This window comes from Homo sapiens, chromosome 13 (assembly GCF_000001405.40).
Source record: "Homo sapiens chromosome 13, GRCh38.p14 Primary Assembly".
Lineage (NCBI taxonomy): Eukaryota > Metazoa > Chordata > Mammalia > Primates > Hominidae > Homo > Homo sapiens.
The window spans coordinates 109,039,266-109,056,242 of NC_000013.11; the positions used below are offsets into that span (position 1 = coordinate 109,039,266).

The window sequence follows — 16,977 nt, forward strand, 5'->3', positions numbered from 1 at the left end:
CCTCCTCTCAACAATTGGTAAAACAATGACATAGGCAATCGGCAAGGGTGCAGGAGAACTGAACAACACCATCACCAATAGGATCTAGTCAATATTTATAAACACATCCACCAGCAAAAGCAGAACTCATATTCTTTTCGAGTACCCATGGGACATGTGTCCAGATGGACTATCTGCTCGGCCGTAAAGCAAAACTAAGCAAACTCAAAAGAATTGAAATTATACAGAGTAGGTTTGCCTACCACAATGGAATCAACCCAGAAATCAATAACGGGAAGAAAACAGCCAAATCTCTGTATACTTGGAAACTTAACAGTGCCCTTCCAAATAATCCATGGATAAAAGGGGAAATCGTGACAGAATTAAAAATAATATGCTGAACCTAATGAAAATGAAAGTACAACATGTCAAACTTGTGTGGCACAGCTAAAATAGTATTGAATGAGAAATGTATATCACTAAATGCGTACGTTAGAAAATAGGGAAAATCTCAAACCAATAATCTAAGCTCCCATCTCAGGAACGTAGGAGCAAAATAAACCACAGTAAGCAAATGGAAACCGATGACAAAAAAGCAGAAATCAATGGAATTAGAAAAAAAGGAGAAAATCAATGAAACAAAGAGCTGGTTCTTTGAAAACACCAATAAAAATTATAAACCTATAATATGAGTGACAAAGAGAAAATAGAAAATACATAAATAGCCAATATCAGTAATAAAACAAGGAAAATCATTATAGGCCCTGTAGACATCAAAAAGATACAAAGGGAATATTACAAACAGCTCTCACACATAAATTCTATGACTTCGATGAATGGATCAATTCCTCAAAAAACACAAGCTACTTCAATTCACCCAATATGAAATAGACAATTTGAATAGCACCATAACTTTTAAGAAATGAATTTGTAATTTAAAGTCTCTCAAAAAAGCTTCCTATTCCAGATTGTTTCACTGGAGAATTCTACCAAATGTTTTAAGGAAAATTAAAGCCAACTTTACACAATCTTTTCTAGAAAATAGAAAAGAATACTCTCTAATTCATTTGATAAAGCAAGTATTATCCTAACACCAAAACCACACAGACAGTAGCATACACACACACACACACACACACACAGAGAGAGAGAGAGAGAGAGAGAGAGAGAGAAAATTAAAAACAAAAAACATCCCTCATGAATATAGGTGAAAAAATATGTTTAATATATTAGCAGATAGAACTTAGCAATATATAAAAAGAACGGTTTTGGTTTTTGTTTTCTTTTTCTGGGGATGCACAGCTGATTCAATATCTCAAAATCTATCAAGGTAATCAATCACATCAACAGGTCAAAGAAGAAAAAAATACATGATTATATCACAGGATGAAGAAAAAGCATTTGATAAAATTTAACATCCAGTCATGATAAAAATCAACTCCCAGACAAATAGGAATGGAAAAGATAACCTGAACTTGATAAAGAGTTTCTACAAAAATCCTACAGCCAATATTATATTTAAGGGTGAAATCTGGATGTTTTACTTCTGTGATCAGAAACAAGACAAGGATGTCTGCTCTCACCACTCTTAACATAGGCTGCTGGAAGTTCTAGCAAGTGTAATAAAGCAAGAAAGGACATAAAAGGCAAACAGATTGGAAAGGAGGAAATAAACCTGTGCTTATTTAATTGCCTTTGTGTAAAATCCCAAGAAATCTACCATAAAAAAAGAAAGGAAAGACTCAAAGAACTAATAAGTGAGTTTAGCAAGGTCACAAGACACAAGATAAACATTCAAAAAATCAATTGTATTTCTGTATACTAGCAATGGGCATTGAAGTGAACCATACAATTACATTTACAATTGCTCATAAAAATGCAATACTTAGGTGTAAATCTAACAAAATATGTAGGGAACTTGTGTGGCGAAAACCACAAAATTCTGATAAAATAAATTAAAGATCTAGATAAAAAGAAAGACATTTCATGTTTATAGATTTGAAGACAATATAGTGTCAATTTAATAGTAATCATCATAGTAATCAGTTCTCCCCAGATTGACATATAGGCTAATGCATTCCTATCCAAATCACAGTAAAATTTTTATAGATATAAAGGTATAGATGATACCATTCTAAAATTTACATTGAAAGGTAAAGAAGATAGAATAGCTAAAACAATGTTTATAAAGAAGAATGAAGTGGGAGGAATTCACCTTCTCCATTTAACGTCCTTAAAGCATGTTACACATAGGTTAATGGAACGGAATAAGGACACAGAAATAGAACCACACAAAGGGACTCAACTGATTTTGGGGAAGTGAAATTGTTTATAAATTGGCAACATGCGGGATCCGTGTGGTGATGTAAATATTCTATATTTTCACTGCATTAATGTCAATATCCTGGTTGTGATAGTTTTGCAGGATGTTACTATTGAAAGAAATTAAGTAAAGAGTACACAAGATTTATCTGTATCATTTCTTACAACTGTATACAAATCTAAACTTATTTCAAAATTAAAACTTTAAAAATATTTAATGGTAATAGAAACAGGATACATGTAGACACAATAAAGGGCATAAATGGACATCATTTATTTTGATTTTCAAATTGCCTTTTTTTTTTTTTTTCCGAGACTAGAGTGTCACTCTGTTGCCCAGGCTGGAGTGCAGTGGTGGCGTGATCTCGGCTCACTGCAATCTCCACCTCCTGGGTTCAAGCGATTCTCCTGCCTCAGCCTCCCGAGTAGCTGGGATTGCAGGCGTATACCACCACACCTGGCTAGTTTTTGTATTTTTAGTAGAGACAGGTTTTGCCATGTTGACCAGGCTGATCTCGAACTCTTGACCTCAAGTGATCCACCCGCCTCGGCCTCCAAAAGTGTTGAGATTACAGGCATGAGCCACTGGGCTGGGCCCTCAAATTGCCTTTGACAAGGCCAATGTGAAACTTCACTGATCAAGGAAAGTATCACGGTTAAAAGACCTAATTTGGAATCGAGTAGTATTTTATCTTTAAATGGAAAAGAAAAGTATTTGTGCATGCTTGTGTGTGCATGTTTATGTTGTGTATTTAAATTACTTGGCTGTGTCCACTAGAAATACCTAGAAACATTGGTTGATCCAGTACTCAATCACACAATGTGCTATTGTGAATCCTTACAGTTCAGATGGTCTCCATGTCATTTCTCTTCACAAAAATTTGCAAGATGTCCCGGAGGGAATACTTGATTCCAAATTTAGCACCAGGAAAAGACAGCAACAACAACAACAACAACAAAACACTGTTTGCAACCATGTGTTAACAATCCACGAATGCCAATTTTATGTAACATGTTATCAATTGTTTGCATTATTATGAAAAAATGTATAAGCTATTTGCATAGTCTCTAATACTTGTGTTCATCTGTCAACTCAAATCCTGTCAGTACTGGTCATCTATATCTTATGAATAGGGTCAAAGGCTTTTAAAGTTGGAGGGCCCTTAGGTAATATTATTTAACACATTAAGAAAGACTCAAAGAATGTAAAGAGCTTGTCTGATATCACAAAAATAATTAAGCTCACCTGCTTCACAATTCGTTAACTTCATACAAATGTCCTTTTAGCAATAAAAAAAGAGTTACTAAACACTATGCTTCCTACAAAAATCAAACTGCCATCAGCAAATGTTTGTCGTTGTATGTGGATGTTAAATGCATTTTCCCAGGTAACAGTGAATTGAAGTCTCCAAATGGGAGTTTTTTTACTTTAGTTTGAATGGAAGACCTTCAGCATTTTCTCTAGATATCCACGTAAACCGGGTGCCATGTATGAGAACTTTCCAAAGAACATTATCTTGTGCTGATGAAAGATTAGTTAGCATTATATTAAATAAAAATGACAGCACAATGTTATGCTGTATTTAGTTACAGTATAACCAAAACTTGCTATCCATTTCACTAAATGATTATTGATTGCATCCAATAGACAAGGCATTGTGCTGGCTGCTGCAGAGACAGAACTGAGAAATGCGTAGTCATCGCCCTGAAGACACTTGGTAGCAGTTTTACCAGGGAAGTTTGGAAGCACTATCAAAAAACAAGCCCATAGCATGAACAAAGATAGGCAAGAAATGTATTTAATGAAACTCTGATGGTCCAGTTGTGCGTGTGTGTGCATGTGTGTGCGTGTGTGTTTCATTTGAAATCATCGGATTTCCATGCAGAGACTAAGCTAGAATTGTAGATTGTGGCTATATAGAGGAAGACTCTATATGACAGAGTCAGAGGTTCTGAACAGGAGAAATGACATTCTCAGTTTAATGTATGCATCAAATAGCAGTGTTGCATTAAAGTGAGGATGTAAAAAGGCCAGTACTTAGCCTTTTTGACTATTTGTCTGTCAAAATAATAAGTGATGGTTTTTACTAGTGTGAAGGTAGTAAATATAAAAAAGCAGGGATTGAAGGGAAAATGAGGGGAAAGCTGCAGCCATTGGCAGATGACAGGGAGCCGTCCTGGGGGAGGGGATCCCAGATGGCACCCTGGTTTCTAATCTACATAACGTGCAGCAGTGAACATGAGGAAGGAGAGAAGGACGAATGAATGATTCAGAGATTTCAAGTGAGAGAGTATTGAATTTTTAAGTAAGAAATATGGCCATCTTCTGAGAATGAGCCAATCTGGGCTGGGGCTGGAAGCTTGAAAAGAGGCAAAAAGATTTCTAACAGTTACTGTGAGGATTGTAATGTGGCATTATCAAGAGGTGAATTGGGGAACTTCTTAGCAGCCAGACAGGGTCCATCTGAGATGTCAGAATGAATTTGTGGCAGATGCAAATGATACCGAATTACAGTCAGATCCAATGATTGACCATGTCATTCACTACAATTAGGAATGACTGACTATGATGAAAAAAAAAATGGTGGCAGCTTATCAGTGGCTTTTGCTACTTAAATGCTAAGCCCTAAGTTTCAGGTTTTCTTGAGACCTGAAAGAAGTCAAAATAGGCCGTTGCTTTAGAAACTATGGATGAATTGAAGGAGGGGAGATGCCAGTGGGAATGAAAAGCATGTTTAGAAAGTGGAAGAGAATAACGTTAATAGGCTATTAGAGATGAGAGTCAGGATTTGAATATCTTGGAGGTAGGGTACTTCCAAATATTTGCACCAGAAATACTCAAAGTCATGGAGAAGGATATGATTGGAGGCATTTGGATGAGATCTTTAGTAAATCCATAGTCCTTTTTGATGTAACTGAAATGACATTTGAGGAAGCTAGGAATAAAGTGAAAAATGAATCACTGATACTCACAGAATTTGATGATCATACCTGTTATATAGTATGCCAGAAGAAATTATCTCAACTTCCATTAATTTTCTAGAAGTGAATTGGAATAACTACTAAAGTCATGTGAGCATGGTTGGGTAAGAGCACAACACAGTAGGACTTTGTAGAGATTACCCACACTATTTGTAACCCCTTATACTTCAAATAACTTGTTTTTGGTCTACAAAGCAATGGCAGAATCTCAGCTCACTGCAGCTTCCGCCTCCCAGGTTCAAGCAATTCTCCTGCCTCAGCCTCCCAAGTACCTGGGATTACAGGCGTCTGTCACCACACCCAGCTAATTTTTGTATTTTTAGTAGAGATGGGGTTTCACTGTATTGGTCAGGCTGGTCTCAAACTCCTGACCTCGTGATCTGTCCACCTTGGCCTCCCAAAGTGCTGGGATTACAAGCGTGAGCCACCGCACTCGGCCCTAAGAACTTTCATGTATATTACATCACAATATTAACAGTGTGGTAATGCATTTTTACTCTCATTTTACCAAGTAAGAAACTGCAGCACTGGAACATTGAATGACTTGCCTAATTCCACATAGCTTTGAAGATGTGTTGACTTCTCCATGGTTTTGCTGGGCACTGCTGCTCCTAACTCAGGAAGGCATAGGGAAGCCAAGCCTCTAGATGGAGGTTTCTTGACCTCAGCACTATGAACATTTATAGCCAGATAACTCCACGCTGTGGGAGCTTCTCTGTGCACACACGGATGTGTAGCAACATCTCTGCCCAACTATCACCCCCAGTTGTGACAGGAAAAATGTCTCCAGAAACGACCAAGTGTCCCCTGGAGGCTATGATTGAGAACCATTGCTCTAGGTTGTATAAATTGTTCACATTTAACAACGTATGGTGTGTCACATCATATGTAGCTCACATTTCAGTATCACTAAGCCATGTGGTGGCACAAGTGCAAACTGGATAATTAGGTAATGGTTTACTTGTACCTGAAAGTAGTTTAAGATTTTGGCATTGTCCCCCAGCTCAACTGATCTTCTGACCCAAATTTATTGGAAAACCTGGGAATGTGTGGGATGCCTTATTACTTCTGTTTTATTTAGGACCTTGTAACAGCAAAGAATAAAAACTCAGCCTTTATGGGAAAGGTGGAGATAATCAGGCACCCATTGTGGCAGATGCAAATATAAAAGCCTATAGAAAGGAAGTTGCATCAGGGATCACCCACCTTTTCCAGGTCCTTCCACAGTCTGCACAGCCCTTTCTTCATAGTTTCTTCTGCTGTCTCTAATATCCATTCACTGCAAAGAATCCAGTCCTCTCTGGGCTCTCTAGACAAAATTCCCAAAGAACTCAGGTTAGCCATCCATACTACCTCATGGGTGACACTCAAATGTCCACAGGCATAACTCTTATACTCCCGCATGGCCGAGGCACACTCTCCCTCAGGCGAGGAGGCAAATTCTCCCTCACGGCGGATGCTCGCCCTCCCTCATGGCGGATCCTCGCCCTCCCTCATGGCGGATCCTCGCCCTCCCTCATGGCTGATGCTCACCCCCTTTCTTGGTTGTTGCTCACTCTTGCTCAGGAGTAAAGAGGCCTCACTGGTTTTGTGTCTCCCATTATCCACTACCGGTCCACACTGGGCAGAGAACAGACTATGACACACTGACCGTGGTCTGTGCCCCAAGGTATATTTTCAAAGGTAAGCCTTTTAAAGAATGTATGGCTGATCAGCTTCCCATGACCACTGAGATTTCACACTTAGTTGACACTAAGAGAGACAACAAACTATTTCAGTCTTCAAAGATCAAGTTTCTCAGCCTCTACTAGTAGGCTGATAAAATTATAACATCCTTCTAATTGATTCATAAATCACCTATGGTGAAGAAGATTGCCCTTTAGAAATCCAGAATTAATTGTTTCCTATGTGTTCTTAATTGTAAAGACTTAAGAGTACTAATTCTTTAAGTATTCAAGCAGAACTTTTTAAATTAGGAGACTATTAAATTTCTCAAACTGAAATCACACTTCATTCCAAAAGTTTCGCAAGTGTGTTTACTTGGTTTAGTGAGTTTTCTGAGCAAGTTAGAGTCCTTAAGAATAAAGGAAACTACATGAATGTGAACCGTCACTATTTGCTCTTAAACTTGGCAATCAAAGGAGACCTTCACAAAATAGAACAGAAGAGGGTTCCCTTGTTTAATGTACAGAATGAGAACAGGCAGATTATAGCTTGGAACTTGCATGTAACGTGAACTGTAAGACCTGAAGACACTTCTTTTATGAATATTTGAAAACTTCAGCTGGGTCAAGTTATCCTTTAAAGGAATTTATTTTCACAGTCATGTTGAATCATTAGTAATTATGCTGCTTTCTTTTATTCTAGGTAATGTATGATGTTGTTGGGGCGATTGAAAAAAATAAAGACTCCCTTTCACAGAATCTTCTATTTGTAATGAAAAGTAAGTTGATTTTTTTTCCTGCCCTACACTGGTTAAAATGCCATGCATCCGTTATTTCTTTATCTCTGAATATTTTCCTAGAAAATATGCTACCAGCTAAAGCATAATTGAAATGCCTTTTGCATTCTAATGCCCAGACTAATGAGAAATGGGTCTTGCTGCACTATATGTTGGCTACAATGTAATTTGGAGTCCAATGGAAACCATAATTTAACTAAGCTTTTAGCAGATAGAAATGTAAAATACCCTTACTACTTTAGTGGGTTGAATATAGAAAAGCTTTTCTGTGAAGACTAATGAAGATGAGTATGGCTTCCAACGTTATTTAAGCCACAACAGGGAGAATTTCATTACTTAAGATGACTCTGGAGCACAACTAAGGGTGGTATTTTATTCTTATGTACTTTCAGTTATAAAATATTCATGCTCACTATGTAGGAGGAGTAGAAATAGAAGGAGTATATATATGTATACACAAGTAAGTTTAAATGTATAGGACCCTTCTACTTAATGAGCATTAATACTTTATATGCATATATCTACTATAATTCTACACTATATACAAGACTGTATACAAAATGTATATATGTGATAATTAAATGTATATTCATACATATATACATAATTCTGCCTCTAGTAATTATTTTCTTAACAGCAGTTCTGCAGTGATTCACATTTTTCTAATAACCTTTATAGTGAATTAAAACATTGCATCTTGTATGCTTTAAGTTGCTATAAATGAAATAGTCATTCATCTTTAAAAGAAGCACAGGATAGCTTTTTCGTGAAATAGTTGAATGCTCTAGCATTGAAAATAAGAAATCTATATCACTTCTGGTTTGAGAAACATATTTGCCTCAAATTACAGCAGCACAGCTGTAATACACTGTTTTTCACTGAAGATTATTCTGCTTGCTTCTCAGAACTTATGTTTATTGTGAGTTCTCTTAGCTAAAACTAACAAAAAAAACAAAGAATAACATTATGAAGACGGAAAAGAATTGGTCTTATTTATTATCATTGGAAAATCTTCCTTTTAGTGTGCTATTATTTGCACTTTTATTTATAATGCACTTCTCTTTTATGGAGATCTAATATATAGCATGTATTTAAAAGTTTACACAATGCTTTTTTTACTTTTGTATTTCATGTTAATAGGATATGTGTGTGTGTGTGTGTGTGTGTGTGTGTGTGTGTGTGTGTGTGTGTGTATTTAGAATGAAAATATGATGGCTAGTCTGCTTATCTTAATAGAGTCCCTGTATTTTAAAATCATTCTTTTATGTAAATTTGTACAAAAAAAAGTTCCAGGAAAAAACAATTCAGTCTTTTTTTTTATTCTTTAGGAGGAAGGTGCTTCTGAGCAAAAGGACAGAATTTACAATGTACCCTTTTGTATTTATACAGGAGGTGTCAGATTTTTTTTTTTGTAAAGGGCTAGAGAATAAATATTTTAGACCTTGTGCACCATAAGATCCTTGTTGCAGTTACTCACCTCTGCTGTTATAATGTGAAAAACAGCTGTAGACAATACAAATGGATGTGACTGTATTCTGATAAAATTTTATTTACAAAAACAGGCAGTGGGCCATGTTTGGCTCAGGAGCCATGATTGCTCACTCACTCTATCATAAAAGCAAAATATTTGTGGTTGCCATCATGTTTTATGAATCTGTGAAATACTTTGATGCTTGTACATATTTATTAAAAGCAAGTGTAATTCATAAATAATAATTTTTATTTGCAGGTACTTTGCTTATAGTATCTAATTCAATTTTCGTAGCATCAAAAAGCTCCCAGTTGAGGAAGATGGTGAGGTCTGTTGTAGAATGTACACAAGCAGAGCTGAGTCTCTGAGACCACTAACCAGGTACAGTCAGGGAGCTTGGAGACAGCTCATAGAGACACACAGCAAATACACTCATTAGTGCCTAAGATTAGAAGTAAAGTCTACTTCACTCAAAAGGAGGCAGAAAAAAAAAAAAAAAAAAGCCGAACTCCAGACTTTTAATTCTGCTCACAGGAATAGAAAATTTTAGGATTTAGGAAAATTTAGGATTTACTGTCAATTATGTTAATAATTATTGAGTCTTTTTTTTTTTTTTTTTGCTGTGTGTCTCTGTACACTTGCTTATAAGTTAGGTTATCCCTCTTTACAGGTAGAAAGACCTTGTACAATGATTGTAGATCCCAGTGAGGGACACTTCCGCTCTCAGTATTTATATAGAGTGACATGAAGAAAATGGTTTGTGGTCAGTGACTCCTTGTAATCCCAGTGAGAGAAATATGCCTCTTCACCAGGAGTTCCTTTGCTCGGTTTTAAGAGGCAAATGGATAGTAGAGTTCTCTTTAAAGTCCTGGAGGAACTTGCTGTCTCCTGCCATGTGCTCAGCTGTGGTCAGGGCTCTCCCGTTAGGGCCCAAAGCGTGATGGCATCTCCCTGTGCCCATAGGATGACATGGATCTTGCTATATCTTCATGCAGCCTGACCACATGATTCAGGGAAAATACAAAACTGGGTCAGTTACATATTTTGGACCATATTTATGTCTCATGTTTTCAGTTTTTTAAATCTTTTATTTTTCTTTTTAAATTTTTTTTTGTACTACCCACCTTCTCAGTAATGTTTTCAGTTTTATTAGAGGCATTTTCTCAATTATAAGAATAAAATGTTGCATTGCTTATCTGTGGGTTCACTTATACATAGACCTGCTATAACTATAAATAATTATTTAAGTTGGCTATACTATTATGTATTTATCATTTAACTTTTTATTTTGAAGTGGTTTTAAACTTAAAGTGACGAAATCATTATAAAGTACTCCCAGGTATCCTCTTCCCAGATTCATTTTTTTCATTACCTTTCTTTTACCCTCTTGCTATCTTTCTTTCTATCTCTTTCCATCTTTTGTTCTCCTCTTTCCTTCCTTTGTCCTGTGTGTGTGTGTGTGTGTGTGTGTGTGTGTGTGTGTGTGTGTGTGTGTGTTTACTTTCTGAATCATTTGAAAGTAAGTTGCTTGCCTCTTCTTGTCTAAATAGTTTGGTGCCCACCCTGAGACGGGACATTATCTTACATAACTTCAGTAAATTATCAGAATATTCAACAGGGATGTACTACTCATATCTAATCCAGAATTCATATAAAGTTTTACCAATTGTCCCACTAATATTAGTCTTTTATGGTCATTTTCTCCTAATTCAGGATCATTGATTGCATTTAGTTATCATTTTTCCTTTAAATCTGAGACAGTTCTTCAGCTTTTCTCTCTCTTTCATGACTTTTTTTAATGCCAGTTAATTCGTAGAAATCGCTCTGTTTGAGTTTATTTGCTATTTCTTTATTTTAGAAGCAGGTTATGAATTTTTGGCCAGGAGTCCCAAGAGGTAGTGGGGTATCCTTCTCGGCACATCACATTCGGAGGCAGTCACGGTTTGAAACAGGTTCACCATGAGCACTGTGATAAGGCGGTGCTCTTCAGCTTTTTCTAACATAAAGCTTGCTGTTTTCCCTTTGTTATTAATGAGTAATTTGTGAGAAAGTACTTTGAAACTATGTAAATATTCTGTTCCTCATCAAACTTTTACCCATTAGTTTTACATGCGTTCATGATTCTTGCCTAAATCAGTTATTTCTTATGATTGCAAAATTTTGATTTTCTTACCCCATCTTTCAATAAACAGTGGCATTCTGCTATAATAATTCCCACTGCTTTATTAATTATTTATTTATGAGTGTACACTCATGGATTCTTATGTTATTCAATGAATAATGATTAATTACTATGATTATACTGATGCTAAAATTGTTTGAGACTTGACCAGTAAGAACCCCTTCAAAGCTAGCTCCTATTTCTTTTTGACATAGTCTCTTGACTTTTTTTTTTTTTAACACTGCCTTACATTCTGGCCTTCCAAAAATGTTCCAGAATCATTTACCTTGCCTCAAATCTAGAATCAGACATTTGTTCAGGAAGCTTTGATTTATCTTAGAAAAGAATGGTATTCAGAAACTCCAAGATCTGGAGGCTGGGTGAGCTCATTGCTACTGGTGTATGATTGCTTTTAGGACCTTTTGGAATCTGAACATTTAAGATGTAAGTATAGATAACATATAGGTGTATAGATCTGTAACTCTGTATTAAGAATCATGGATTTCTCTTGCTATCTCTAATTTCATCCCAACATCACAGGGCCCCTTTTGCATTGCATAATTGTATCTCCTTTTCCTGACAGTTCTTCCTGCTTCCCTGTTCGTTTATTACCTAATGTAGGGATTTTTTTAATGGAAAGCATTACAGATATATATTATGTCACCCGCATTTTGCACCTGGGCAGGCAAAATAATTTGAGTATGGCAAAGGCAGAAACTAAACACTTTGCCACAAAACGTTGCCAACTGTCTGATTGGCTAAGCGTGATCCTAGTGATTTATGTTCATTATTTCACATTTTAATTTTGCAGTGATTCTCAAAGTAGGTACTGTCATCATTATTTTATAGGAAAGGACACTTAGGCTTAAAAACCACCTACATTCAGATATAAGTAACACAAGAAACATTCCTTTTGACCCTTAACCGCCACATACATTGTTTTCCCTGTGATTTTTAAATTTGTAATCCAAAATCCACTCAACTGAGCTCTAATTTCTTCCTGAGGTGTCAAGAAAGGAATATGGACTCATGGACTCAGAATTATTTGATTTTTATAACTTAAACATGAAAATATATCATTTTGCTTTTACCTTTTCAGCTTAACTGTGTTTTTTGTTATTTGTTTTGTTTTGTTTTGTTTTTTAAATAAAAGGACACTTCTTTTCCCTTCTTTCACCTAGCAACTGGTGCACCAAGTAAGGCAGGTCCTCTCACAGGTACTTACAGACGGCTCTGAGACAGGTGAGTTAGGTCCTGGGGAAACATTTTCCTGAGTAGTTATTTTCCTGGAATGGGGCGTTTCTAATAGAGACCATAAGTCTTCATGATTTGACAAGTGCACAAAAGCCCCTTAGGTCTGAGCAGGTAAGATTTGGTTCTGAAAACTAGGATAGAAGTGTTACTCAGTTAGAGAGCAAGGCCCAGTTGGGATCAAGACTCCTGGTCAAGGGTAGTGAATGTCAGAATTTGTCAATGATATTAAATAGTGGAGGAAATAAAATAAGGATACAGGAAAAGGTAGACTCCTCAATCTGCTGAACGAATGACGTCTTGCACCCAGAATGTATCAGTGGCTAGAGCTCTTGTATGAAGAATAAGTTCAATGCTTAAGTAATAATTTTAGTGCCACTTACGATATTCATTTATTTATTTCCTAGCTAGTGAAAATGTCGTGATCAATCATTTGTTCCAGTCGAAATTGTCACAAACAGGATCCCTCGTATCTGCCTATCCTTCCTTTAAATTCCGAGGACATAAGTCTGCCCTGCTCAGTAAGAAAATGACAGCTTCTTCAATTATTGGAGAAAACAAGAATTATCTAGAACTTAGTAAGGTAGGAGTTTTTATGATTATTGTTGGATTATTTTTAATTTTGATAAGTATATTTGCTTCTTTTTTTTTAAAAAAAAGCACAATTTTAAATACCAAGGAAATAGATATTCTAATAGAAAGTATTAAGGAAAAGAATGCCTATCTGATGTATAACCATCAGAATGAAGGAAGAGTAGAGGAAGGTGCAGCAGAGTGACAATTTTAATAGTAAGTATAGTCCGAGTCATTTTATTGGTTGTCTGTGCAACATCCCAGTTCTGTTTCATCTCTGACTGCCTTTTTGATGAATAGAAGGTAACTTCAGATACTGTAGGCTTAGAGGGAGTAAACTTAGCTATCTTATTCTGTTGATATTAATCACTTCAGATAACTGAGGTCTCTAAATGATAAATTGTTGTTTCTCTTATAGACGTAGGGTGTTGTTCAGGTGCTAGGATGTTTTTACTGCATGTTTGTAGATGTTTAATTTTATTGTATTATACTAATTTGTAATGTATATTTGTCTCGCAAAAGTTTGGTTGTATACACAAACTCAAGATTCTATGTGCCAAAAGAGAACTAAAAACTCAGTGAAGAGTTGTTTCAAACTGATAGGAAACATGTATGGAATGTTTTAGGTTTCTTCAGAATCCAGTGCCAGATGGTATTCCAGAGTGTTTTGCTTATGTCTACCAAAACTATAAAAGATGAGGAATATATTTGGGAAGGTGTTCAGGACAATCAATTTTAGAAATGCAATTGTTGCAGCTTCTGGAATACATTTTAACTTACCAATTAAAATAAAAGCATAATTAAATTCAATTCTATTTTAGAAGAGTGGCCAAAATGTGTAATATGAGTGTGAGTGAGTGTGAGTGTGTGCTCCAGCCAGTGGCTTCTAGAATAAAAGATCCTTTGATGTAGTTGTTTAGAACTAAATGATCATGAGAATTAGTCTCTGCCACATAGAAAATGGCATTTTTTACATTAAAAAAAAAGAACCCAAGCTTATCCTTATAAGAAAGATCTCTATGACTGGAGGTCTTCCTGAACCTTCTGGCCCCTCTTTTCTCAATCATCCTAAAAATCAAGAGCAAAAACCATCACACACTGCTAACCTCAATTATTAAACATTACGAAGCCTAGGTGCCATTACTCTTTTCCCTAAAGGACTGCAGAAGGGAGGTAACTCACAGTAGTTCCTCCACCCAGAAAGGGAACTGGAGTGTTCCATTTCAAGGGACAGACAGCTATTTATTATGATTATTCCTTAAATGTTCTATTTCTCACTTCCCTTCAAACTGCCTTCATCCATGCACAGCCACCCCTGTGGCCAGGAAAATAGGATTTTCCCTACTCTTTAACTGAGCATGACACGTTGTATTGTGTTTGTAGAAAACGGGTTGATCTTGGCCCAATCACTTCATTTTACGTTCACTTGTCAGTACCAATGAATCACTTTAGATTGACAGTACATCTTAACAGAAGAAAATGAGCTATTGTCATAATAGCAAAAGCACTAAATCCACAAGAATGTTATCTCAGATTTCCTTCTTGTATCAAGACCTTTTTTAAGAAAAACGATTTTAGATCAATAAGTCCATTAGTCTAATATATAATTTTGTGAAATGTAATAGTAGGTTAGTGGCTGAGGTTCCTTTTAACCCTGGGTGGAATTTAATTAATTACCTTCCGCCCTTTATTTCTGCCCTTTATTTCGTTTTGGCCTCATTTTCACTGATTTTATGTCTCTATCATCATGTAATCTTTTCTACATATGATCTTTTTCTTTTCAGGGCTGCACATATTTGCTTATTTGAAAAAAAATAGAGTCTACTACCATTTTTTACAGATAGGTAATTTAGTAACCTTTTCTTAGTAGTTATAAAACGAGGAAGAGGAGGAAAGGGAAGAAAAACATGGTAAGAAAGCATCAGACCATTCATTCATTCAACTCCTGAGTGTAGTTAAATTTAAGGGAACAAACCAATGATAATTGACACATAAAATCTTTGTAACATAAAACACCATCATTTTGCCCCAGAGTAAACTACATTTCATGATAAATATGAACAGTTAGTAGCATAACCAGGATATGATCGTGAGTTTATTGTACCACCAAGCAAATGAGGATCTATGTTTATTTTCACACTAAAATGAGTGCAGGATGGTGATAGATCTGATTTACACAACAGCCCTGTACTTGAAAGGTTGGCAGTAACAGTTGTTATTTTACAAATAGTTGCCCATTTCCTCAACTTATACACCATTACAAAAATCACTTGGCACTGATTTGTACGAACTGTGTTTTAAATCCACATTTGCCTGTAAGTGAATGTACATGGATGTGAGACTTAATATTTTGCTCTTCTGAACTGAAATTTAGTAAAATAAATTTGCTCACTTTTTCTTTTTCTCCATTCTGTCTTCTTTCCTTCCTTTCTTCCTCCTTCTTTTCTTCTTCCTTCCTTCTTTCTCTTTTTTCCTTTCTCCCTCCCTTCCCTTCCCCTTCCTCCCTCCTTTTCCTCCTTCTTCCTTTCCTTTCCTTTCCTTTCTTTTCTCCTGTCCTTCTTGTCTTTCTTTTTATTACAGTTATTAAAAAAGAAAGGAACTTCTACATTTCTTCAAAGATTGGAACGAGGAGATCCAGTCACCATAGCATCACAACTCAGGGTTAGTGACGTTTTCAGATTTCAAAAACTTAATGTATGTTTATAGCAACTAAAGAGGGTTTATGTAGACTTTTTTTTCCATTTTTGACAACTTAAATATCTTCACAAAAAAAGTAAACATACACACACACACACACACACACACACACAGAGTAAATGCATAATGAGATTTAAAGACGTAAAGACTTTTTATTTAAAAACTGCTTTATATTTTTAGCTAGTGTCTCCTTTGGAGAATCAGTTGGGTTCTACTTCTCTCCTTAGAAATCACTAATGGATATTATTGGAAAACTTCAGAAGTGCACTCCACACTTCATTCATTGCATCAGGCCCAATAACTCAAAGCTGCCAGATACTTTTGATAATTTTTACGTGTCTGCTCAGCTACAATATATTGGGGTCCTGGAGATGGTGAAGATCTTCCGATATGGATACCCTGTTCGCCTTTCCTTCTCGGATTTCCTGTCAAGGTAAATTCTTCTGCTCTTAAAATCGTCGTTCTCGCTGCTGTTCAGTGCAGTGTACTGACACTGACACTATTGTAGCAAGGGTCTTCTGTTGTCTTTTTTGGCACTGCTTTTGTTGTTTACTTTTTTCTATCTCCAATAAACAAAATATTCTGGGAAACAATGAAATACACTGACAAAGCTCACATAAAAAATAATTAAACTGTACTGAGGACAGTATCTTGGAAACCATTCTCATGTTCCTTTCAAAGTGTGGCTTTCCTTGGATTAAAGTTTTGTAAAATGATTGCATGTGATATTTACTATTTATTATTTAAAAGGAGAATGTATGTAAGTGATTATTTCCCCTTTTATATATGAACAAAATATTATTTAGATCAGTGGTTGGCAAACTACACTCATGGGCCAGCCAAATCCAGCCTACCACCTGTTTTTGTAAATAAAGTTTTATTGGAACATGGCCACAATCATTTCTTTGCATATTGTCTGTAACCACTTTTGCACTGCAATAGAGATAGACAGTGTGCCATGGTGTAAAATATTTGTAAAATGTTTCTTATCTGCCCCTTTAGAACAGAAGTTTGTTGACCTCTGTTTTCAGTAAATTCAGCTGAAAAATACACTGTGCACAAGACAGTGCACTCATTCCT

At 36.0% G+C, this 16,977-nt stretch overlaps 1 protein-coding gene across 7 annotated transcripts in view; it reads left to right on the plus strand.

The window, feature by feature from the left end:
• MYO16 (myosin XVI) overlaps positions 1–16,977 on the plus strand; it is a 712,290-nt gene that overhangs the window by 543,550 nt on the left and 151,763 nt on the right. For all 7 annotated transcript variants that reach the window (XM_011521062.2, XM_047430183.1, NM_015011.3 and 4 more), the window contains 4 exons: positions 7,651–7,726; positions 13,035–13,210; positions 15,781–15,861; positions 16,125–16,330. In XM_011521062.2, coding sequence (XP_011519364.1) covers positions 7,651–7,726; positions 13,035–13,210; positions 15,781–15,861; positions 16,125–16,330 — 539 coding nt within the window. The remainder of the gene's footprint in view (positions 1–7,650; positions 7,727–13,034; positions 13,211–15,780; positions 15,862–16,124; positions 16,331–16,977) is intronic.